Genomic DNA, 23103 nt, shown 5'->3' on the forward strand with positions numbered 1-23103 from the left:
GCTATGTGGGTATAACCATCACAATGATGTCACCCTGCTGGGTGAGAAGGATGATTTGCAAGGAAATCGCTCAGGCAGGCCCTGGGTGTGAATCTCAGCTCTGATACTTACCTGCTGTGTGGCCTGAGACAAGTCACTGTCCCTCTCTGAACCTGTTTCTTCCCTATAATTTGGGGATGGCAACAGAACCCACCTAACAGGGTGGCTGTGAGTTAGAGTATACAGAATCTTGCTTAGGCCAGCATGCAGCAAATGGACATCACCTGGCCAGTCTTGTGACTCTGTGGCAGCTGACAGCAGGGTAAGGCCGTTGCTGGTCTGCCTGCCTGGGGCTTTCCTGAGGGCATGGTGCTAGGTTCCCTCTCTAGCTACTGTGGGCCTGCACCAGTGCTGCTCTTGGCCAGGCTTAGCTGCAGGAGATGTAGGATGTGGGGGTGAGGGAAGCATGAGGAATGGCTGGTAGGGATTGGGCTCATTGGGCCTGGGTTGAGTTGAACCCTCAGCTGTCCCTTTTATAGGTGAAAACTTGGAGGAGAGGCTCAGAGAGGGCAGATAATCATCCAAGGTTGCCCTGTGAGAGAATGGAGACAGAGTTCTGGTTGTTGCCCACACCCAGCTGCAGACCCCAGCCTGTCAATGACATTTTGTTCCAACAAGCTGGTACCTCTTTGGCCTATCCTTGGACCTCTGGGCTGGCCTGAGATACTTCTGGACTAGCCTGGGACCCTTTCAGTTTAGCCGTGGGACTCTAAACTACCCTGAGATCTTTTGTAGGCTAGCCTGGGACCCCTTAAGTGCAGTCCCAGAGCACTGGACTCTAGCCTGGGACCCTTGTGAACCAGCCTGGAGCCTTTTTAGCCTCACCTTGGAGCTCTGGAGTAGCCTGGGCCTTTCTCAGACTAGCCTCAGAATTTCCTACCCCCACCCCGCAGCCCTCAGCCCCAAGCTAGCTTCAGATCCTTCTTGATCCTGGCTCCAACTCCTACCCATCAGGTTTGTGTCTGATTATGGGCGGAATGGCTTCCAGGCTGTGTGTCAGCACCGCCTCATGCAGGCCATGGGCCGGGCCCAACAGCAGGGCTCGGGGGCTGCCCGCACCTTACCCCCGACCCAGCTCGAGTGGACAGCGACCTATGAGAAGGCCAGCATGGCGCTGGACGTGGGCTGCTTCAATGGTAAGCTGCCTTCCCCCACCTCAGTGAGGGCAGTGGGAGTCAGCAGGGCCCAGTGAGCCCCGGGGATGGCAGAAGCCACTGGATGTTCTGGAGCTGGGGAGGGGCCTTCTCAGATGTGGCTCTGCGTGAAAGTCTGTGTGTGGGGGTGGGACCTGGCCCAGGAAAGGGGAGCCAGGGAAGTGAGGCTACAGATACAGGAAGCCTGAAAGGAAGAAGCAAGCAGGGAGGCACAGCCAAACTGGACTCAGATGCTCCAACCTGAGCCCGGCACCTGCTGCGCCCCAGGTGACCAGTTCTCCTGCCCGGTGCACTCCTGGAGTACGGGGGAAGAGGTGGCTGGAGACATTCTGAGGCACAGGTTGGCTCCTAGGATGCCCTCCCAGCACACTCTTATGTACCTGGAATGTTGTGGGGGGAGGTCAGATCCCCCAGAGGGTCCCATAGGGTCCATTCTGTTCATGTTTAGGGTCTGGCTTATAACCCAGGATCTCCCCAGGTAGTGCCTGATGACTCTGTCCCTCATTTCCATTCCTGTGCATGCCATCACCAGGGGGCTGGCAGATGGCTGGCGCGGCTGGACCGTGGCCATGAAGAATGGTGTCCAGTGGGCAGAGCTGGCTGGCCACGACTACGTGTTAGACCTGGTGTCGGACCTGGAGCTGCTCAGGGACTTCCCTCGACAGAAGTCCTACTTCATTGTGGGCACAGAGGGGCCTGCAGCCAGCAGGGGAGGCCCCAAAGTGTAGGTAGCTATGGGGGACCCCCTCACAGATGGCCACTCCCAGGCAGAAGGCCGGCCACTCCCAGGCAGAAGGCCTGCCCCTCCCAGCTGCTGGGACAGGCTGAGCCCTGAACTTAGACTTCAGGTTCTTAAGGAGGTAGAGTTCACCAAAGGATCCTGCTTTTAAATGGAGAAAGCCACTGAATACCAGGGTGCAGAAGAAAATTTGGGGGATTCTGGGATCTCTCTGGGGGTCAGTAGCTCCATGTTCCTTTTCTCCACAGGGTGTTTGGGAACAGCTGGGACTCGGATGAGGACATGTCCACTAGACCCCAGCCCCAGGAGCACATGCCCAAAGTACTTGACTCTGATGGGTACAGCAGCCACAATCAGGACGGTACAAATGGGGAGACTGAGGCCCAAAGAGGGACAGCAACCCACCAAGGTCAACCAACAATGGCTGCTGTCTCTGGTGGGGAGGGAGCCTTAGAGGCTGTGTGGGGTGGAAATCATCAAGAAAAAAGAACTTGACATTTTTGTGCCTTCCCCTCCAGAGTCAGACAGTCTTGGAGAGCCTGCTGTGCCCCACAAGGGGCTGGACTGCTACCTGGATAGCCTCTTTGACCCTGTGCTGTCCTACGGGGATGCGGTAGGGATGGTGTGGGGTGGGTCATTTGCAGACAGCAGGCACAGCATGTACACCCAAGTCACACACTTGTACAGGGTGACCTGAGAGCTTCTCACAGCCAGGGTCATGGGGTGGTGTGTCCCATCTGGATGTCTGCTGGAGGCTGGACAAAGGATGAGGGTCTCTTCACAGCTAGAGATGCTCTTGGCTGATCCTGGAAGGACCCACAGTTAGAAGTGCACCTCTAGCAAGGTGTGGTGGCATGCCTCTGTAGTCCCAACTACTTAGGAGGCTGAGATGGGAGGATCACTTGAGCCCAGGAGTCTGAGGCTGCAGTGAGCTGTGATTGCACCACTGTGCTCCAGCCTGGGCAACAACAAGACCCTGTCTCAAAAAAAAAAAAAAAAAAAAAGAAAGGGAAGAAGTGCACCTTTGGTGGCAGCCAGCCCCCCGGGGCCACTAAAATATCTCTATCTGGATGGAGTTGAATGACCTTGGTCCCCGGGTCTTCTAGCCCCAGATCTCACGAGACCCCTCAGGTACCCTTACTCACTCTGGAAACTCCAGAACCCACCCCACCCCCACTGCCCCTGGCATGATATGCAGCCCTGAGCAGGGCACAACCCCTCCTTGAGCCTCAGTTTACTCCTCTGGGGAAGAGGGGATGGGTTGGGAGCTCATATGGTTATGGATACGACTGATTGGGATGCCATAGGGGTAAAGGCTGAGCATACAGCAGACACTGAGCCAGTGGGAGGCTGCCCCCTCCCACGAGAGGGTGGGGAAGAGGCCAGTGTCAGGTGCCTGTTGCCATGGAACCTTGGGAGTACAATAATGAGATGGTCACTTGAGCCACCCACTGCCCCCAGGACCTGGAGAAGCCAACAGCCATTGCCTACCGCATGAAAGGGGGAGGCCAGCCCGGTGGAGGCAGCAGTAGTGGTACTGAAGACACCCCCAGGAGACCCCCAGAGCCAAAGCCAAGTCAGTGCCTCCCCAGGGTGGTTCCAGGGTTGGGCAGGGCCAGAGCCACTTGCTGGTGTGCTAGAATGGAGGCAGCCACAGCATGATGGGGGCTGAGAGGACAGGGAGGAGGGCATCTCCGGTGCCATCTGTGCCTTCTGCCCCCTCCCCTCAGTCCCAGGCCTGGATGCCTCCACATTGGCTCTGCAGCAAGCCTTCATCCACAAACAGGCCGTGCTGCTGGTGAGTGAGGGAGGGACTGCTGGGGGGTGGAGAATGGACCTGCCTGGTCACCACTGCCACCTCTCCCCAGGCCCGGGAGATGACCCTGCAGGCCACGGCACTCCAGCAGCAGCCCCTGAGTGCTGCCCTGAGATCCTTGCCCGCAGAGGTGAGCCTGGCCTGCCCAGGGTGCAGGGGTTGCTTGGAGACACAAGCTGTAAAGAGGAATGCTGTGCTGCTCCAGGGCACTATTGTGCCTCTTTGAGCCCAGGAGCTCCACAACCCATCTCTGACAGAGATCTGGAGTCCCAGAGAGCAGCCTGGTATATCCCAGGCAGCCCACCCTCACGTCCTGTTCTCCACAGAAACCCCCAGCACCAGAGGCACAGCCGACGTCTGTAGGCACCGGTCCCCCTGCCAAACCCGTGCTCCTGCGTGCCACTCCAAAGCCCTTGGCCCCAGCCCCTCTGGCCAAGGCTCCAAGGCTCCCCATCAAGCCTGTGGCTGCCCCTGTTCTAGCTCAGGATCAGGCTTCTCCAGAAACCAGTGAGTGCCCTATCCCAGCCTCTGGGGCTTCCCAGGACAGGCCTGGTGGTGTGGTTGTGCCCCTTGTGGCCTCACCCTGTTCCCACCGCGCCCCTTGCCCACAGCTTCACCCTCCCCAGAGCTGGTCCGGTACTCTACGCTCAACTCTGAGCACTTCCCACAGCCCACACAGCAGATCAAGAATATTGTCAGGCAGTACCAGCAGCCGTTCCGGGGAGGCCGGCCTGAGGCCCTCAGGTCAGCACTGCCCCTGCCCCCAGCCCGCCAGCCCCCTCACTGTACCTGAGTGTCCATCATGGCCCACCAGCTTACTGGGTTGAAGCGCCCTGCCCAGCTCCTGTTAGGGAGGGAGTTTCTTTATACTGATGAGTCCAGATGAGGCCCTGCTGTTGTCTAGGTTGTGCTGTAGGACTTCAGGCCAGTCTCTGCTTCTCCCTGGATTCTCATTTATAATGATAGGGGGTGGTGGAGGAGGAGGAAGTTTCCTACTGTCAAACTATGTGATGGGAAAGGGAGACTCAGTGTCAACCCACCACAGTACTCCAATGCCCACAGGAAGGATGGCGGGAAAGTGTTCATGAAGCGGCCAGACCCTCATGAGGAGGCCCTGATGATCCTGAAAGGGCAGATGACCCACCTGGCAGCTGCACCTGGCACCCAGGTGAGGGGGGAAGGTGGGGCTGAGCCCAGGTGGAACAGAAGACAAAGAGGGGCCTCAGGGATCCTCAGAAACCAGCTACCCCTATAAGCTGTGGCCCTGCCACTGCCCCTCCACAGGGCCTGCCTGTTGCCCCCTGAGCAGTCTCTTTGGGGTGGGACAGGTGTCCAGAGAGGCCGTGGCCCTGGTGAAGCCGGTGACCAGTGCACCAAGGCCATCCATGGCACCCACTTCAGGTGAGAGGGCCAGGAGGGAGGGAGGGGAGGGTGTCCAAGTATATGAGGAAGTCTGTGGGCACAGGTGAGTGTGTCGGTGGAGTGTGTGTGTCTATGTCCCTGAGCCCCTGTGTACATCTTGTGAGCACATTGGTGTAATTATAATGTCAATACTTAAGTAGCACAGATCTCAGGCCAGGCCCATCCTGGCCTCATGTAATCCTACCAGAACCCTTCAAGGTAGCACTGTTGTTCCTACATGTTGCAGATGGGGAAATGGAGGCACAGATAGGTTAACTGGCTTGCCTAAGGTCACACAGCTCAAAAGTGTCAGACCAGGGATATCAGCTCAGGCCTCCTGGCATCACAGTTGAAGCCCTAACCTCTACACCCTTTGTCTCTCAGCAGCTGCAGTGATCTTAACAGCTATAAAGCAGTTCCCATCCTGCCCCTGATAAAAAACCCTCTGATGGCTCCTACAATAAGCTCCAAACTCCTCACCGTGGCCTATGAGACGCGACATGATGTGCCCACCTCCCCAGCCTCATCTCCTCTCTTCCTCCCCTTGGCACATTCTGTTCCTCTCTGTTCTCGGAACACTCCAAGCCCACTCCTGCCTTGCATGTTCCCTGTGCCTAGAATGCTCTTCCCCAAGACCTTTGCATGCCTGGCTCCTTCTCACCATTCATGTCACAGCTCAAATGTCACCTCTGTCACCTCGGCAAGGTCTGCCTAGATTGCTAGGAGTGAAGGACCTCACAGACCAGCTCTCCAGGATCCATCCTAAACCACCCTGCTTTACTGCCACCCCAGCCTCGGGCAGTGAGAGCTTTGTTTCTGAATGATCTGTGCCACCCACACCTGCCATGGGCACTAAACTCCAGGGCAGGGGCATTGTTTACCTTATTTGCGGGGCCATCTCAGCCTTTAGCCCAGGCCTGTATACAATAGGTGTTTTGGCTGGGTGTAGTGGCTCACGCCTGTAATCCCAGCACTTTGGGAGTCCGAGGCGGGCGGATCACAAGGTCAAGAGATCAAGACCATCCTGGCCAATATGGTGAAACCCCTTCTCTGCTAAAAACACAAAAATTAGCTGGGCGTGGTGGTGGGCACATCCAATAGGTGTTTTTATGTGTTGAATGAAAGGCTGGGTCATATGTGACCCTTGTGAGCAGCTGTTTCCGTGGACTGCTCCTGGGTCCCCTCCTCCACCCGCCCTGCCTCTCCCATTTCATCCTAGGAGGTGCCTGTGGCCGGGCGCAGTAGCTCATGCCTGTAATCCCAGCACTTTGGGAGGCCGAGGCGGGCGGACCACCTGAGGTCAGGAATTTGAGACTAGCCGGCCCAACATGGCGAAACCCCATCTCTACTAAACATACAAAAAATTAGCCAGGCGTCGTGGCGGGCGCCTGTAATCCCAGCTACTCAGGAGGCTGAGGCAGGAGAATCGCTTGAACCCAGGAGGCGGAGCTTGCAGTGGGCCGAGATTGCGCCACTGCACTCTAGCCTGGGGGACAACAGCGAAACTCCGTCTCAAAAATATATATATATATTAATTAAATAAAAAAACGAGGTGCCTTCTCCTGACTCCCTGATCCCCGCGCTCTCCAGCTCTGCCCTCGCGATCGCTGGAGCCCCCTGAGGAACTCACGCAGACGCGGCTGCACCGCCTCATCAATCCCAACTTCTACGGCTATCAGGACGCCCCCTGGAAGATCTTCCTGCGCAAAGAGGTGCCGAGCACAGCCGTAGCCAGGGGAGGGGCTGAAGCGGGGCAGGGGAGGGGCTGAAGCGAGCAGAGGAGGGTCTAGGACTTGGGGAGGGAGCCCAGGAGGACAGAAAAAGGCCGGGCTGAAACCAGGGGTGGGGTTACAGCCGGGGCGGAACTGCATTTAGGGGGCGGGGCCGGGTGTGAAGCAAGGCCAGGGGGCAGTCGGACAGTACCCACTGAAGCCCCGCCCCTGCAGGTGTTTTACCCCAAGGACAGCTACAGCCATCCTGTGCAGCTTGACCTCCTGTTCCGGCAGGTGAGGTCCTGTCTCCCCTTTCTGCCTCAGTGAACTCAGCAGGGCTGTGTGGACGCAAAGATGAGCTAGCTGCAAAGCCTGCCTCTGCATGTTGGGATTTGGGGTCCTTGACAGGGGTGAGGATGGGCAGCTGTTTTATTGAATCTCCCCCTCCCATGGGCAGGGTCAGTGAGCCCACAGTTCAACCCAATCAGAGCCATAGTCTGTCTGAGCTAGACATGGCCCAGAGATCAAATGTAAACCCTGTAAACCCCCCTATATAGAGTAGGAAACGGTGGCCTAGGAAGGGTGGCCTGGATTGTGGGGCTGAGGAGAAAGGAGAGGGCCCTGTAAGTGGGATCTGATTTACACAGATGACCCAGCTTACAGATGACCCCACTGCTGCAAAATGGGACCCCTCCCACATTGCCACTCACCCTAGTATAGTCCAGCCTGGGTCCCAGCTGGGGGAGTCCCATGTGCTGCCTGCATCACAGCCTGTTCCCACAGATCCTGCACGACACGCTCTCCGAGGCCTGCCTTCGCATCTCTGAGGATGAGAGGCTCAGGATGAAGGCCTTGTTTGGTATCTCGGGGGAGAGGAGGGGTACTGATGGGGCAACCAGTCAGAGGCACAGCCAGCCCTGTCCCAGAGGGAGACTGAGGCTGACAAGCCCAGGCCCACCATCTCCCAGACATGTGCCTCCTTGCTCTGCTTCTCTGGCCTCTCGCATGGCCGGGCTGCATGTTTGGGGTTGGCAATGCCTGACACACTGTGTGTCCTGGCCATCTCATCCATTTCTGGGTTTCAGTTTTCTAGTATAGACACTGGTCAGATACCTTCTTGCTGGGTATCAGCCACCTCCCTCCCTGACATCCCCGAGATGGGGGTTGCCAGGGGAGTGGGGAGAGGGTCCTGACCAGACCTGGCCTCCCATAGCCCAGAACCAGCTGGACACACAGAAGCCTCTGGTAACGGAAAGCGTGAAGCGGGCCGTGGTCAGCACTGCACGAGACACCTGGGAGGTCTACTTCTCCCGCATCTTCCCCGCCACGGTGCGAGCCCCTCACTTGCCCCCTACCTGTCCAGAGGATTCAGGGATGAGACAAGAGGATCCTCACACGCCCTTCATCTCTGCCCCAGGGCAGCGTGGGCACTGGTGTGCAGCTCCTAGCTGTGTCCCACGTGGGCATCAAACTCCTGAGGATGGTCAAGGGTGGCCAGGAGGCCGGCGGGCAGCTGCGGGTCCTGCGTGCATACAGGTGACCAGCAGGGGTGAAGTGGGGCTGGCTGGAGACTGGGATACAGACTGGCATCGGCATTTCCTTCCCCTCCACAGCCACTTACCAAGTACCCATGATGCGCCAGGCTCTGTGCCAAGCCATTGAAGCAAACCCATTTTAGAGCTGGGGAAACTGAGGCTCAGAGAGAGAAGTTGTTTGTCTCAGGTCACACAGCCAGGAAGGGATTGAGCTAGGCACCCACTCCCCTGCCCTCCCCCCAACCTGCACAGCAGCAGCACTGTGCAGAGGGGCAGCTGTGCTGGAAATGACCAAATCCTGATGCAGCTGGGGAGGGAACCACTGCCAGCAGTGACACCTTACTGAGTACTCAGACTCCCTCCCCTGCTAGAAGTCCCTTTTGTCCTTTTTAACACGAGGATGGGAATGGAACCTTGCTAACTGGTTAGGTAAAACCTGCATGCTTTGAAAGATGGAGAGAATTTGGTCAATGGGTGAAAGAGAGATTTGGGTAGGTGCAAATCTAGATTTAGAGCTTGGACCAAGGGACAAAGGGTGGAGAGGGGCCGGAGTGTCAGCCCAAAGGGTGGTAGGAACTGAGCTGAAGCCACAGCCTGGGTCAGAGAGGGGAAGCAGGAAGCTTAGGGTTCTGTGGGAGCTGGCACAATGGGGCCAAGGTGGGGCTGGGCTTCAAATGGGGCAGGACAGGATCAGAAGCAGCACAATAGGTGGAAGGAGGGCATCCCTCTGGCAGGGGAGTCATGCCACCGGCCCATCCTCCAGCTTTGCAGATATCCTGTTTGTGACCATGCCCTCCCAGAACATGCTGGAGTTCAACCTGGCCAGTGAGAAGGTCATCCTCTTCTCAGCCCGAGCGCACCAGGTCAAGACCCTGGTAGATGACTTCATCTTGGAGCTGAAGAAGGTCAGGATCTTCTCACAGATCTTCCCTCCACCCAGGCTGAGGGCCAGCAACAGGGATCTCCCTGTTCCAGGGAAATATGACTGTGTCCATAGATTTCTGTCTACCTTAAGGCCTTTGCACTGGCTGTGCCTTCCACTTGGAATACCCTTTCTCCCTTTTGCCTGCTCCTTCAGAAAACCTTTGCCAGTGCCCCCTGCCGGGTGGCACAGCACCTCCTCTGAGGTCTGCAGCAATTGTACTCCTTACCCTCCTGCCTTGGCTGCATGGCCCGCCCACTGCATCACAATCTCTTTCCATCCCCTCTGCCCACTCCTGACTGGCAGCCCCCAGGCCTAGGGCAGGTCATCTCTGTGCCCCAGGCCCGAGGAAGACTTCAGCAGGAAAGTCTGTGAGGGATTGAGTGGGGAAGGCCTATGTGTGTGCCCTAAAGTCCATCTGTGTCCCTCAGACTCACCCTCCAGCCCTTTCTTCCACCCAGAATGCCCTTCCCTCTTCTCACCTAATGAAGGCTCCCTTCCCTGATGAGTCAGGAAGGATGTGAGGAGCAGGGGTGGCCCTAGGCCTCTGGGAGTGGGGTGATAGGGCTGTTGCCCTCACCCTGCCTCTGGCTGACCCAGGACTCTGACTACGTGGTCGCTGTGAGGAACTTCCTGCCTGAGGACCCTGCGCTGCTGGCTTTCCACAAGGGTGACATCATACACCTGCAGCCCCTAGAGCCACCTCGAGTGGGTCAGTGCCACTGGGGTGGGCTGGGGGCAGGAGGGGGAGGCTGGCCAAGGGGGCCTCCCTGGCAGATGCTGACCCGAGCCTGGCCCATAGGCTACAGTGCTGGCTGCGTGGTTCGCAGGAAGGTGGTGTACCTGGAGGAGCTGCGACGTAGAGGCCCCGACTTTGGTGTGTGCCCCAGAACCTGGAACCCCATACGGGGCGCATCCTAGTTTCACCCACTCGTGGTGCAGATGCACAGTGAGGGTTTCTTGGTGCCCGAAAGTGGCCTGGGCTGGTCAGGTCTCCTAAGGTCCAGCCGTGGCCTGTCAGTATCTGTTGGTGGCCAGACAGCCCAGCCCTCTGCTTTGCCTGAGGGGTCTCCGTGGGCATTTCCATGTTTGTGGCCTGAATCTCTCTTTATGTCTCCACATGACCTGAGAGTCCACAAACCCTGCTTTGCCTTTTTGCTTCACTTCCCCTTTATGGTCCTGTGGCCCTGAGAAAATCCCTTTCTTTCCCTGAGCCTGTTTCCTCATCTGTAAAATGGGTTTGATGGCCTGGCCTGCCTCATAGAGTTCCAGAGAAGGGTTAAGAATGTTCCCAAATCTCCCTAAAGGACCCCCTTAGTCACAAGACAAGACCCTCCTGTTTGCCTCAGACCTTTTACCCACCCCTAGGCTGGAGGTTCGGGACCATCCACGGGCGCGTGGGCCGCTTCCCTTCGGAGCTGGTGCAGCCCGCTGCTGCCCCCGACTTCCTGCAGCTGCCAACGGAGCCAGGCCGCGGCCGAGCAGCCGCCGTGGCCGCTGCTGTGGCCTCTGCAGCCGCTGCACAGGAGGTGGGCCGCAGGAGAGAGGTGAGACCAGTGTGGGTGGGGTGGGGCGGGGTAGACCAGGGGGAAGGGGCCGCTGCAGAAGGGGTGAGGCGAGTGGGGATAAGGTGGGCCAAGGGCCTGGCCAGGCTCTTGGGGCGTGGCTGATCTTGGACTAGTGTGAGGGTGAACCAGGTAGAGTGAGCCGCAGGTGAGACCCGGGAGATGGGACCAGAGATGGTTGGAGGTGTGGCCAAATGGGGTAGGGAAGGATGAAGATCAGCTGGTTGTAATCAGGACAATGGGGTCAGACCAGCCGGGGCCCGCCAGTTGGTGAAGTCTACTGGGTTTGGGGCGGTGCCAGGTGAGTGGGCGGCTTGTGGAGCTAGCGAGGGGCGGGGTCAGCTGTGACGTGGCAGTTGCGGAAGTCAACCCCGGGCAAGGGCGTGGCCAAGTGGGGCAGGGAGCCAGGTTAGCACAGCAAGTAAAAGGCGTGGGCGGGCTGAAGGGGTAAGAACAACGGGATGCGGGTGGGTCCACAGGGATGGGTGGGTGGGCGGCTTGAGAATCTGGGTCCAGTCAGCTAGGGGTTGCGTTGTCAGTTTTGACCGAAGGGCTAGGCGTGGTGTGGCCGGACTGGGCCTTCCTAGCTCCGCCTCTTCTGCAGGGTCCCCCAGTCAGGGCCCGCTCTGCTGACCATGGGGAGGACGCCCTGGCGCTCCCACCCTACACAATGCTCGAGTTTGCCCAGAAGTATTTCCGAGACCCTCAGAGGAGACCCCAGTGAGTGGCGGCCCCACCCCTCTTCCCACAGTGGGAGGGTGCTGGGCTTCTTGCTGCCATCCAAACTGCAGGCTGTCAGTCTCGGAGGCCCCACTTCTGGTGGGAGAGATGAGAGACCACCCAGGTGTGAGGCTCATTTCAGTGCCTGCCTCTGGGGGTCTTCGTGACCGGTAGACTGATCAGTGGTGGGTCAAGAACCCCCTCCCTGGGGGTTCTTTCCCATGTGGAAAAGGATGTAGCCAAGGCTTGGGCAGGACAGGTCAGTAGCACCCACCTCCCACTGCAGGGATGGCCTCAGGCTGAAATCCAAGGAGCCTCGGGAGTCCAGAACCTTGGAGGACATGCTTTGCTTCACCAAGGTGTCCAGTCCCGGACCTCAGTTTCCCCATCTGTAAAATGGTGATGCAGGGGCCCCCTCCCAGGCCCCTGGGGCCAACAAACTTGTTCTCAGTGAGACCCTCTGATTCTCAGCACCCTGATTCCCTCCCAAGGACAGCCTCTGTCCCCAGTGTTGGGCCTGGCTCCCCTTTTGTGACGTGGACCCTCCTGTTATCATATGGCCTTGGAACACAATGTGTCCCCTTTCTGTTCTGACGTGTCCCTCCTCCATCATGACACAGCCCTCTTCCCCCACAGACTCCCCTCCAGGAATCCCTCATCGAACTCAGCGACAGCAGCCTCAGCAAGATGGCCACCGACATGTTCCTAGGTGTGGGAGTGGGACTGCAGCCAGGGCTCTGGGCTAGGTGGGATCCAGCACTGTGTGATCTCTACTGGTTGCCACTCCTCCCTGATCTTCAGATTCTTTCCCTCCCGCCAGCTCAGACATGGAACACATTTAAGAGAATAGAAGCTCCCAGCTGCCTGTGGCCAAGGCTCCCAGGGAGGGGCTCAGCCCTGGGGCTTCCTGGGGTGGGTGGGCAACTGGGGGTTTGGTGGGTCTGAGTGGGATAGGTCTTTCCTACAGCTGTAATGAGGTTCATGGGGGATGCCCCACTGAAGGGCCAGAGTGACCTGGACGTGCTTTGTAACCTCCTGAAGGTCAGTCCAGCCAACTTTGCCAGATGCCCCCTTTCCTGCTCTGTGGTTCAGTTTCCCCATCTATCAATGAGTCACAGGACATTAGGGTGGGAAACCTCTCCCATGGTCCAAAGAGGAATGCATCATGCTGGTGGGGAGGGGGCTGGGAAAGGGACACCAGGCCTGTCTTCAGGTGCCCACCCTGTTCTTATGTACCTGGTATATGACATAGCCCCTCACATGTCTTTGGTGTGTAACCTCCCTGCCCCCCTTCAGCTGTGCGGGGACCATGAGGTCATGCGGGATGAATGTTACTGCCAAGTTGTGAAGCAGATCACAGACAATACCAGCTCCAAGCAGTGAGTGAACTGGACTTTACCCCACCATCCCCTCACTGTGTCCATGCTCCAGGAGGGACCAGTTCAGCCTCCCACCTCCTCAGGCCTGACCCCTCCTGGATTATCTTCCTCTCACCCTCATCCTCACTCAATAGAGCACGTTTTTTGGAATTACTTGGTCTGGAACACACCATTTCTGCTCTCTGAACTTTAGTGCCCTCATCTGTAAAATGACAGTGATAATGTGTAAGTCCAGATTCTTAGTTGCAAGTGACAGAAACCCAACTCAATCTGGTTTAGCCAAAAGGGAACTTGTTGATTCAGAGAAGTGAAAAGTCAGTGAGTATGTGGCCTCAGGCATAGCTGGATCCAGGTGTCATCAGGAAGCAGGCTTTCTCCATCTTCTGGCTCTGCTTTCCTCTGTGTTGATCATTCCCAAACAGCCTCTCGCACAGAGTAGCAAGGTGGCAGGTCTGGGGCAACAGCTCAGCAATCCCAGAGAAAGCAAGACTGACCCAATATTTGCTGTAGAAATTCTTAAATCCAGCCTTACAGGCCTGAGTTGGTCACATGCTCAACCCTGAACCAACTATGCCTATCCCTGGGCCAATCACTGTGGCCAGGGGCTGCGGTGTTCACATTGACCAAACCTGACTTCCATGCCCATCTCCAAACCACAGGGATCCAGAGCGGGGTGGGTGGTTTCCCAAAGGAAGCCCAAGTGTTGTTCCCAGACACCAGATATCCCTACAAATGAAACCCTCACACCCAGGACCATGTGAAGATGAATTACTGTGTTCCACTCATGCAGGGCCAGCACACAGTACGTGCCCAATGTGTGCATGCTCTTGTTACCATCAGGTCCACCCTCCTGTCTCCATCTGTACTACCTCCTCACTTGCTCTCCATCTCCTCAGGATTTTTAGAACCACTCAGCTTGTCCTCCTGCTCCTCCCAGCCCTGGGCCTTACCTGGCATGACCTCTACACAGTCTCAGCAGCTTCCCCTTTTCCCAGAAGCCTCCCTAGAGAGATCCCCTACCTGTTGTGAGGCAGAGAAGAGAAGAATAGGAGAGGAAAGAGTCGCAGTGCTTCCCCTACCTGGGGAAGATGTCTGGGGCCCCATCCCCTTCTGTCCCTATCCCCAATCCTGACTTCCCAAGCAGAATATGCCTTTTGCATATCACTGCGCAGGGAGGGGCATCCTCAGGGGACAGGAGCTGCCTGAGAGTTGGAATCTGTCTCAGCTCAATCCCAGGAGGCTCTTGGCACACTCTAGTGCTGTGGCCACCTCTGCTGTAGCCCCCATGTGTCCTTGCAGGGACAGCTGCCAGCGAGGCTGGAGGCTGCTGTATATCGTGACCGCCTACCACAGCTGCTCTGAGGTCCTCCACCCACACCTCACTCGCTTCCTCCAAGACGTGAGCCGGACCCCAGGCCTGCCCTTTCAGGGTGAGAGGTCAATGAGTGGGAACCCAGGGCTGCATGCTTCTCCCTTGGGGACTGGGTGGACAGCTGGTGGGAGGGGAAACCCAGAGGGCCTCGCTCTTCACAGGTGCTGAGCAATGTTTACCAATATTAATATACTCCCCAAACATTTGTTAAGGTTTCACAGGGGCTGGCGTGGTGGTTTGTCTGATCTAATGGAGGGGGTGGTCAGGGATGACTCCTTGGAGGAAGTATTGCCCTGGGTAGGAGGGATTTCCAGGTGGAGTGAGTGACAGGAGCAAAGACAGGAGTGGGAATATGTGGTACGTGGGAGAAGAGAAGGAGGTGGGCAAGAATCCAGAGTACTGGGGTGCGGCCCTGCCTCTCTGACTGTTGGGACTCAGCAAGGGTCTTGAGGGATCTGGGCAGAGGTGGGCCCAAGCTGGTATCATCCCCCTTAGAATATGGAGAAAGGGGGGGCCACTCTTCAGCGTTGTTTCCATAGCAACCCCTGGGGCTCCCTAAGAAGGAGGCTGGGGCCCCTGTAGTCACCATGGCAGCCGTGGAGGAGATAGGAGACCTTACCCTTCCTGCCTCTGAATGCTTCTCTCTGATTCAATTAACAAACATTCAACCCACAGATGAATAGACCCAGCTCCCTATGGAAGAGCTCCCAGATGCATAAAAGCAGCAGAATGTGCCCTAGAACTCTTGACTCAAGAGAAATGGAGCACTGATGCTGGGGTCTCCTGCACTGGGAGGCCTGGGTGAGGGAGGGCAGCTGGCAGGGTATCCCAGCTGGCATGAGCAGAGCTGCATCACCCTAGCCACAGAGCCTGTGAGATACAAGCTCCCCAGTCAGCAGCTCAGGGTGACAGCGGTTTCCAGGCGTATAGGTTGCCAAGGGGACTATGGGCTAGATAAAAGGTCCTTAGCCACATGGGATGTGGGTTCAAATCCAGCTCTTAACCTCTAGCTCTTGACCTTGGGCAAGTCACTGTCCCTGTCTGAACTGTTTCCTCAACTGTCAAATGGGGGAGTAAATGCCTTCCCCACAGCTTGTGGAGAGAATGCAGTGGGCTCATGGTTGGTGGCAAGAGGAGCGAGCCCCTTTCTCCCACAGTCCACCTTGGGCGAGGCCTGAACTCCCTGCTTCTGCAGGGATCGCCAAGGCCTGCGAGCAGAACCTGCAGAAAACCTTGCGCTTCGGAGGTCGTCTGGAGCTCCCCAGCAGCATAGAGCTTCGGGCCATGTTGGTGAGCATAGGGTGGGAGTGGGTTCAAAATGAATGGGAGGCTGGGCGCAGTGGCTCATGCCTGTAATCCCAGCACTTTGGGAGGCTGAGGCGGGCAGATCACCTGAGGTCAGGAGTTCGAGACCAGCCTGGCCAACATGGTGAAACCCCGTCTCTACTAAAAATACAAAAATTAGCCGGGCATGGTGGCAGGCACCTGTAATCCCAGCTACTCGGGAGGCTAAGGCAGGAGAATTACTTGAACCCAGGAGGCAGAGGTTGCAGTGAGCCAAGATCGTGCCACTGCATTCCAGCCTGGGTGACAGAGCGAGACTCCATGTCAAAAAACAAAAACAAACACACACAAAAAAATGAATGGGAGACACAAGCCCTGCCCAGAGACCTCTCTGTCAGGTGCATTGCACTCAGGGGCTTGCAGACAGGCCCTGCGCGGTCCAGGTGCTCAAGTGTTCCTACACGTGCCAGCCCAGGATCCTTTGGCTTGGGAACTCCCAGGGCAGGAGACAAGGGCTGTCCCAGATCCTAGGACCCAACCTGTCATCCCTCTCCCACCTATCTACCCCAGGCAGGCCGCAGTTCCAAGAGGCAACTCTTTCTTCTTCCTGGAGGCCTTGAACGCCATCTCAAAATCAAAACATGCACTGTAAGTGAAGAAATGTCTCCTGCAGCCAGGTACTGGAGGGGCAGGGACAAGGACAGCCCAGGCTCCAGGATGGGGGTGGAGTAAGCCCCCAATGATGCTGAGCCCTCCCAGGCTCTCCCACAGCCCCACAAGGCAGGACTTATTTCTCAGAAGAGCAAACTGCACCTCAGAGAGGTTAAGCCTCTGGCTCAGGGTCATCCTGCAAAAAAGGGACAGAAGCAGATTTTAAACCTAAGTCTCAGACCACAAGCTGTGTTCTTTCCCTGCCTGAGGCTGATTCTCAGAGACCTCAGAGGATTGTGCGCCTTTGTGAAGAGGGCTGAGGAACTCCACACATGGCCTCTGGGGGCCTGAGTGGGGCCAGAAGGACAGAGGTCAAGCCCAACTGGCATGGCCTCATCTCTTCCGCCCCACCCCCAGGTGGCCCTGGACGTGGTGGAAGAGATATGTGCTGAGATGGCTCTGACACGCCCTGAGGCCTTCAATGAATATGTTATCTTCGTTGTCACCAACCGTGGTGAGTGCCAGGAAGACTGAGCATGCTGGGCCCATTCCCATCCCCGGGCCTTGTGCCATGTGGGGCCCTCCACCCAGATTTTAGGGCCCAAGTCAGGTGCCACTTCCTCCAGGAAGCCCCTTGACCCCCATGTGGAAGGATCTCTGTGTGTACCAAGCACGCCCAGCCCTTTATCTGTCCCTTTCTGCTTTGCTTAGTTTGCCTCACCTTATGATGAGAGCCCTCTCTCATCCCTCCCTTTGTCCCTCAGGACATGCTCAATGTGAGGACACAGGCCGTGCCCTCAAGGAGATTACATCCTGGAAAGGTTTCCATTAATAGCGCCGCATATTATGGAACCTATAGGAACCTATAGGTGCAAGCCTTCTTTCCTGCCTTTCATGCCTTAATAATGGCCAGAGAAGCCCCTCCCGAGGTGTCACTAGCCCCTCTCGAGGGCTCCTGGGACCCTAGGTGACCGTCATGCATCCCAAAGCCCCTTCCATCTGCTGACTGCCCACTCTAGATCATGGTCTTCCCTCCTGTCACCAGCTGGTCAGCTCCAGCAACCCCCAGCCAGCTCTCCCTACTGCTGCCTCAGTCCTCAGCCATGTGCCATCAGCCCTGCCTGCCCAAGTCCAGCTAAGACATTAGGGGAGAATGGCAGGTAACAAAACGGTCCTAATAACTGATATTTATTGAACGGATGCTGTGCCCCAGGTATAATTCAAAGCATTTCAGGCTGGGTGTGGTGGCTCATGCCTGTAATCCCAGCACTTTGGGAGGCCGAGGCGGGTGGATCTCTTGAGGCCAGGAGTTTCAGGGCAGCCTGGCCAACATGGCGAAGCCCCATCTCTACTAAAAATTAGCCAACCATGGTAGTGTGCACCTGTAATTCCAGCTACTCAGGAGGCTGAGGCACAACAATCACTTGAACCTGGGAGGCGGAGGTTGTAGTGAGCCATGATCATGCCACTGTACTCCAGCCTGGGTGATGGAGTGAGACTCTATCTGCAAAAAAAAAAAAAAAAAAAAAAAAAAGCCAGGTGTGGTGGCTTGCACCTTTAATCCCAGCACTCTGAGAGGCCGAGGCGGGTGGATCACCTAAGGTCGGGAGTTCGAGACCAGCCTGAGCAACATGGAGAAACCACATCTCCACTAAAAATACAAAATTAGCCAGGCATGGTGACGTTTGCCTGCCACTCAGGAGGGTGAGGCAGGAGGTTGCAGTGAGCTGAGATCGTGCCTGGGCAACAAGAGCGAAACTCCATCTCAAAAAAAAAAAAAAAAAAAGCATTTCATTCTGTGAACTCTTTTAATCCCCACGACAACCTTATGAAGTGGATGGAGACTGTTAGCTTTTCCATTTACAGATGGGAAAACTGAGGCCCAGGGAGGCTGTATTAGTTTTCTATTGTTGCTATAACAGATTATCACAAATTTAGTGGCTTAAAAAAACATAAATATATTACCTTATAATTCTGAAAGTCAGAAGTTCTAAAATGAAAATGGCATCAGGGCCAGGTTCCTTCTGGAAGCTCTAGGGAATAATTTGTTTCCTTTCCTTTTCCGGCTTCTAGAGGCTGCCCGCATTCCTTGGCCCATGGCCCTTTCCTCCATCTCCAAAGCCAGCAGTGTAGAATCCTCATATCTCTCTCCCTGCCAGCCTCTGCTTCTGGTCTCACATCTCCTCCTCTGATTCTGACCCTTCTGCTTTCCTCTTATGAGGACCCATGTGCTGATGACACTGGGCCTGCTTGGATAATCCAGGATCATCTCCATCTCCACATCCTTAACTTAATCACATGTGCAGAGTGCCTTTTGCCAGGAAAGTGACATATTCATAAGTTCTAGGGATTAGGACCTGGACATCTTTGGAGGGGTCATTATTCAGCCTGCCACAGAAGCTGTGACTTACAGTCACACAGTGGTAATCATGTAATCATACCAAACTCCCTCTCTTTAGTAAGATTTTACTGCAGGTGTGAGATGGGTGGCAAAAATGTCAGTGCAAGAGAGAAAGACTTGAGCTTCTCCCAGGCTCAGACCCCAGTCCTCCCCACCCCCACCTATGCCAGGTACCTGGCAAGGGGTCTCTCCTGAAGGAGGTCTGCAGAAAGGCACCCACTGGGTCTCATAGTGTGAGGCCTCTTGTGTTTGTCCTTGTTCCCAGCCTCCTCTGGAAAGGAGCTGGGCCTTCTCTGAGAATAATGCAGGGCACTTTCCCAGATCCAGGCAGGCCACACTCGGGGCACTCCTCAGGAGCCCCTCTTTCCCCAGGAGAAATGGAGCATTACTTAAAGCTTTGAATTGGAGTTATTACCATCTGTGGTCATCAATATTTCAGTAAAACATAGGACACCCCATTCGACAAGCATGCTCTCCTTTAATGAGGAAGCTGTGTCCCAGAACAGGCAGGTGGCTTGTCCGAGGTGATACCTCACCTGGGTAGCAGATTGGGGTCTGCACACATGCTCTGTACAGGTGCACACATGTGTGTGCACACATGCCCCCACCCAGCCCTGCCTCCCTGCTCTCTGCAGGCCAGCATGTGTGCCCACTCAGTCGCCGTGCTTACATCCTGGATGTGGCCTCAGAGATGGAGCAGGTGGACGGCGGCTACATGCTCTGGTTCCGGCGTGTGCTCTGGGATCAGCCACTCAAGTTCGAGAATGAGCTATATGTGACCATGCACTACAACCAGGTCAGCACACGTAGGCTTCTCTGGACTCTGGGACCTTCTAGGCTCCCCTGGGCCTGTGAATCAGACTCCACAGCCTTGGTGTTTGAAGTGTTCATGATTCAGGCCCTGTGGATGTCTCTAGCCCTGATGTCTCTGCTCCCCTATGTGGTCTCTTTGGAGAAATCGAAACAGCCCTCACCACCTTTGAGAGCCTTTGCGCATGCCATCCCTCCATCTGTGCTTCCTGACTTATTTAAGTCCTTCCCAGCAAGCTGCCCCCAAACAGCACCTCTTCCATTAGGCCTTCTTTGCATTCCCCTTTCCTTCGGATGTCTTCCTCCTCTGAACATGGGCCTGTCCTTTGCTCCAAGTGCTAAGCCAGGCTTTGCTAGTACTGTCATTTTTGTCTGTGTGTTATTCTGTGAGACTTAGAAGTCCTCTAAGTCAGGATCATGGAGTTTACAAAGTCTAGGTTTCTCCTACTGTGCCAGTATGTGTGGAAGTGCTTGGACAGAAAGTGTGTGTTTTTGTGGAACTGGTGCCAAAACTTCAGGAATTGTACACAATATGGTCACGTAGATTTTGTGGCCACGTGGTGTCACTGTTGAAGCATGGCCCTGTGCAGTCCAGCACCATGCTACTCAACCTGAGGCTTGTGGACTGGCAAAAACGGGAGGCAAATCCTCAAGTCCCGCCTCAGACCTCCTGCCTCAGACCCTCAGGAGCCCAGCCTGGCTGTCTGTTTTGGCAAGCCCTCCCGTGGCTCAGGCACACTCAGTTTTGAGAAACAGCAGGCCTGATAGATACATGTCCACACTGCAGTGTTGATGCTCTGCTCTCACCAGCCAGCCCACATCCTACACAAGGTTGCTGTGGGGACTCCCTCATGGGCATCAAGGCCACAGCCCTCCCACGTCACCCTTATGTGCTTCTGCCATCATTCCCCGAAACCCAGGAAAGTAATAGGCCATCCTACCCCAGAAGAGGATGGGGCTGCAATCATTAAACATGCATGTCCCCAGGTCCCCTGCAGCCAAGTGCCTGCACGCGTGCCTGCCTGGCAGCCCCTCACCCAGGTGCTCCCTGCAGGTCCTGCCTGACTACCTGAAGGGACTCTTCAGCAGTGTGCCGGCCAGCCGGCCCAGCGAGCAGCTGCTGCAGCAGGTGTCCAAGCTGGCTTCACTGCAGCATCGCGCCAAGGACCACTTCTACCTGCCGAGCGTGTGAGCATCTGCCCTCCTGCCTCAGCTGGGGTGGACAGGCAACCCTGCCCTCTCAGCCCACCTCCACCCTCCTCAGAGCTGGCAGTCCCCAGGCCCTCAGGCTCCCCTCTTATACCAGTGGGGCTATCTGGGAAGGGGCTGTCCTTGCCTGGGGGCTGAAGTCTTCCAACTAGCCACAGGAGCTGGGACCCCGCCTCTCTTTCGCAAGTTGCTTCTGGCTGGTATTATTAGCTCAGAGCAAAGGTAATGATAAAAAAAGCTTTCAGGACACATGTTCCCTGTGGTCCAGGAAATACATGTAGCTATGCAGAAAGATTCAGCCACAAAAGCATTCACTGCAATGCTGCTACAAGAGCAAAAGATCAGAAGTAACCTCAATATCCAGCAACAGGGAGTCGTCAAGTAAATTATGGGTGTTAGCCTTTATTTACTTATGTATTTAATTAATTATTGATTTTCTCTTTCTTTTTTTAAAAATGATATACCACTTTTTATAGAGACGGGGTCTTGCTATGTTGACCAGGCTGAATTTTTTTATTTTTGTAGAAACAGGGTCTTGTGGCCGGGCGCGGTCGCTCATGCCTGTAATCCCAGCACTTTGAGAGGCCAAGGCGAGCGGATCATGAGGTCAGGAGATCGAGACCATCCTGGCTAACATGGTGAAACTCCGTCTCACTAAAACTACAAAAAATTAGCCAGGCATGGTGGCAGGCACCTGTAGTTCCAGCTACTCGGGAGGCTGAGGCAGGAGAATGACGTGAACCCGGGAGGCGGAGCTTGCAGTCAGTGAGCCGAGATAGCGCCATTGCACTCCAACCGGGGTGACAGAGCAAGACTCCGTCTCAAAAAAAAAAAAAGAAAGAAAAGAAACAGGGTCTTGCTACTTTGCCCAGGCTGATCTTGAACACCTGGGCTCAAGTAACCCTCCTGCCTCAGCCTCCCAAAGCAGTGGGATTACAGGCATGAGCCACCCTGGCTGGCCTAGACAGCCTTTAAACTGACGTTCTCTAAGTTATAATTAATGCTCACAATGTAAATCAGTCATTCTCAAATTTTTGGTCTCAAGACCTTTTTACACTCTTGAAAAGAGGACCTTGGCCGGGCACCGTGGCTCACACTTGTAATCCCAGTACTTTGGGAGGCCGAGATGGGCGGATCACCAGAGGTCAGGAGTTTGAGACCAGCCTGGCCAACATGGTGAAACCCCGTATCTACTAAAAAAATTTAAAAAAAAAAAAAATTAGCCAGAGGTAGTGGCGGGTGCCTGTAATCCCAGCTACTCAGGAGGCTGAAGCAGGAGAATCACTTGAACCCTGGAGGTGGAGGTTGCAGTGAGCCGAGATTGTGCCACTGTTCTCCAGCCTGGGTGACAAGAGCGAAACTCCATCTCAAAATAATAATAATAATAATAATAATAATAATAATAATAATAATAAAAATAGGCTGGGCACAGTGGCTCACGCCTGTAATCCCAGCACTTTGGGAGGTCGAGGTGCGTGGATCACCTGAGGTCAGGGGTTTGAAACCATCCTGGCCAACATGGCGAAACCCCATCTCTAATAAAAACACAAAATTAGCCGGGCATGGTGGCGCATGCCTGTAATCCCAGCCACTTGGGAGGGTGAGGCAGGAGAATCACTTGAAACTGGCAGGTGGAGGGAGGTTGCAGTGAGCCAAAATCATGCCATTGCACTCCAGCCTGGGCAAGAAGAGCAAAACTCCGTCTCAAAATAATAATAATAATAATAATAATAACAGGACCTCGTGGCCGGGCATGGTGGTGCACGCCTGTAACGCCAGCTACTCGGGAGGCTGAGGCAGAAGAATTGCTTGAACGCAAGAGGCAGAGGTTGCAGTGAGCTGAGATTGTACCACTACACTCCAGCCTGGGCAATAGAGTAAGACTCCGTCTCAAAAACAAAAAAAGTGGACCTCAAAGAGCTTTTGTTTATGTGGGTTATATCAATGAATATATTTACCCTGTTAAAATATTGATTTATTAATTCAGTTAAAAATAAAAATTAACCCACTAAATGTCAATATAAATAACTTTTTATGAAAAATAACTCTATTTTCAAAAAAAAATTTAGTGATTCATGGGCGTGGTGGCACATGCCTGTAGTCCCAGTAACTGGAGAAGCTGAGGTGGGAGGATCACTTGAGCCTGGGAGTTCGAGTTCGAGGCTGCAGTGAGCCGTGATTGCACCACTGGACTCCAGCCTAGGTAACAGAGCAAGACCCTGTCTCAAAAAAAAAAAAAAAAAAAAAAAAAAACCATTAGTGAGAATTTTACATGTTCAAAGCTCTGTACTTTTACATTTTCAAAGCTCTGTACTGTCTGACTTAAGGCAGCTGCCTTCCCAGATCTGCTTCTGCAGTCAGCCTGTTACCATCTCACATGTTATACAGCCTCTG

At 55.3% G+C, this 23103-nt stretch overlaps 1 protein-coding gene and 2 long non-coding RNA genes across 8 annotated transcripts in view, besides 6 other annotated features; 1 reads left to right on the forward strand and 2 right to left on the reverse strand.

Annotated features, from left to right (window-relative positions):
- Positions 1 to 23103, forward strand: part of MYO15A (myosin XVA) — a 71045-nt gene that overhangs the window by 38280 nt on the left and 9662 nt on the right. For 3 of the 5 annotated variants that reach the window (NM_016239.4, XM_017024715.3, XM_017024714.3), the window contains 32 exons: positions 994 to 1175; positions 1461 to 1533; positions 1726 to 1917; positions 2181 to 2341; positions 2451 to 2545; positions 3394 to 3508; positions 3663 to 3730; positions 3801 to 3878; positions 4075 to 4255; positions 4360 to 4492; positions 4811 to 4916; positions 5077 to 5149; positions 6740 to 6861; positions 7096 to 7155; positions 7645 to 7720; positions 8075 to 8190; positions 8279 to 8397; positions 9160 to 9301; positions 9919 to 10030; positions 10121 to 10195; positions 10687 to 10865; positions 11488 to 11603; positions 11890 to 11962; positions 12240 to 12312; positions 12571 to 12644; positions 12900 to 12982; positions 14282 to 14412; positions 15550 to 15644; positions 16209 to 16286; positions 16707 to 16803; positions 19326 to 19486; positions 20555 to 20688. In NM_016239.4, the coding sequence (NP_057323.3) occupies positions 994 to 1175; positions 1461 to 1533; positions 1726 to 1917; positions 2181 to 2341; positions 2451 to 2545; positions 3394 to 3508; positions 3663 to 3730; positions 3801 to 3878; positions 4075 to 4255; positions 4360 to 4492; positions 4811 to 4916; positions 5077 to 5149; positions 6740 to 6861; positions 7096 to 7155; positions 7645 to 7720; positions 8075 to 8190; positions 8279 to 8397; positions 9160 to 9301; positions 9919 to 10030; positions 10121 to 10195; positions 10687 to 10865; positions 11488 to 11603; positions 11890 to 11962; positions 12240 to 12312; positions 12571 to 12644; positions 12900 to 12982; positions 14282 to 14412; positions 15550 to 15644; positions 16209 to 16286; positions 16707 to 16803; positions 19326 to 19486; positions 20555 to 20688 (3573 nt within the window). Of the gene's footprint in view, positions 1 to 993; positions 1176 to 1460; positions 1534 to 1725; positions 1918 to 2180; positions 2342 to 2450; positions 2546 to 3393; positions 3509 to 3662; positions 3731 to 3800; positions 3879 to 4074; positions 4256 to 4359; positions 4493 to 4810; positions 4917 to 5076; positions 5150 to 6739; positions 6862 to 7095; positions 7156 to 7644; positions 7721 to 8074; positions 8191 to 8278; positions 8398 to 9159; positions 9302 to 9918; positions 10031 to 10120; positions 10196 to 10686; positions 10866 to 11487; positions 11604 to 11889; positions 11963 to 12239; positions 12313 to 12570; positions 12645 to 12899; positions 12983 to 14281; positions 14413 to 15549; positions 15645 to 16208; positions 16287 to 16706; positions 16804 to 19325; positions 19487 to 20554; positions 20689 to 23103 lie in introns of those variants that run through there. The other 2 variants (XM_011523918.3, XM_024450781.2) reach the window with 1 other exon arrangement.
- On the reverse strand, positions 2544 to 6103 carry LOC124903944 (uncharacterized). The gene is made up of 3 exons (XR_007065652.1): positions 6031 to 6103; positions 4568 to 4871; positions 2544 to 2738 (listed from the first exon to the last, which is right to left on the reverse strand). It is a non-coding gene; the product is annotated as an uncharacterized LOC124903944 (long non-coding RNA).
- Positions 3173 to 3673: an enhancer, noted in NCBI's record as "H3K4me1 hESC enhancer chr17:18053522-18054022 (GRCh37/hg19 assembly coordinates)". NCBI's record gives its function as "activates a minimal SCP1, AML or CMV promoter by ChIP-STARR-seq in naive H9 embryonic stem cells {active_cell/tissue: H9 hESC(naive)}" and the evidence as "EXISTENCE:reporter gene assay evidence [ECO:0000049][PMID:30033119]".
- Positions 5911 to 6434: an enhancer, noted in NCBI's record as "H3K27ac-H3K4me1 hESC enhancer chr17:18056260-18056783 (GRCh37/hg19 assembly coordinates)". NCBI's record gives its function as "activates a minimal SCP1, AML or CMV promoter by ChIP-STARR-seq in primed H9 embryonic stem cells {active_cell/tissue: H9 hESC(primed)}" and the evidence as "EXISTENCE:reporter gene assay evidence [ECO:0000049][PMID:30033119]".
- On the reverse strand, positions 6166 to 8305 carry LOC105371567 (uncharacterized). Of its 2 annotated transcripts, XR_001752809.1 has the most exons (5): positions 8217 to 8305; positions 7572 to 7684; positions 7105 to 7199; positions 6780 to 6849; positions 6166 to 6202 (listed from the first exon to the last, which is right to left on the reverse strand). It is a non-coding gene; the product is annotated as an uncharacterized LOC105371567 (long non-coding RNA). The 2 variants fall into 2 exon arrangements; XR_001752810.2 differs by lacking the exon at positions 6166 to 6202 and having other exon boundaries at positions 6830 to 6892.
- Positions 7044 to 7093: a silencer, noted in NCBI's record as "silent region_8266". NCBI's record gives its function as "represses an Ori minimal core promoter by ATAC-STARR-seq in GM12878 lymphoblastoid cells {active_cell/tissue: GM12878}" and the evidence as "EXISTENCE:reporter gene assay evidence [ECO:0000049][PMID:35858748]".
- Positions 14006 to 14065: an enhancer, noted in NCBI's record as "active region_11827". NCBI's record gives its function as "activates an Ori minimal core promoter by ATAC-STARR-seq in GM12878 lymphoblastoid cells {active_cell/tissue: GM12878}" and the evidence as "EXISTENCE:reporter gene assay evidence [ECO:0000049][PMID:35858748]".
- Positions 14186 to 14325: an enhancer, noted in NCBI's record as "active region_11828". NCBI's record gives its function as "activates an Ori minimal core promoter by ATAC-STARR-seq in GM12878 lymphoblastoid cells {active_cell/tissue: GM12878}" and the evidence as "EXISTENCE:reporter gene assay evidence [ECO:0000049][PMID:35858748]".
- Positions 20080 to 20581: an enhancer, noted in NCBI's record as "H3K4me1 hESC enhancer chr17:18070429-18070930 (GRCh37/hg19 assembly coordinates)". NCBI's record gives its function as "activates a minimal SCP1, AML or CMV promoter by ChIP-STARR-seq in primed H9 embryonic stem cells {active_cell/tissue: H9 hESC(primed)}" and the evidence as "EXISTENCE:reporter gene assay evidence [ECO:0000049][PMID:30033119]".

Source organism: Homo sapiens, chromosome 17, assembly GCF_000001405.40.
Source record: "Homo sapiens chromosome 17, GRCh38.p14 Primary Assembly".
In the NCBI taxonomy this organism is placed as follows: Eukaryota; Metazoa; Chordata; class Mammalia; order Primates; family Hominidae; genus Homo; species Homo sapiens.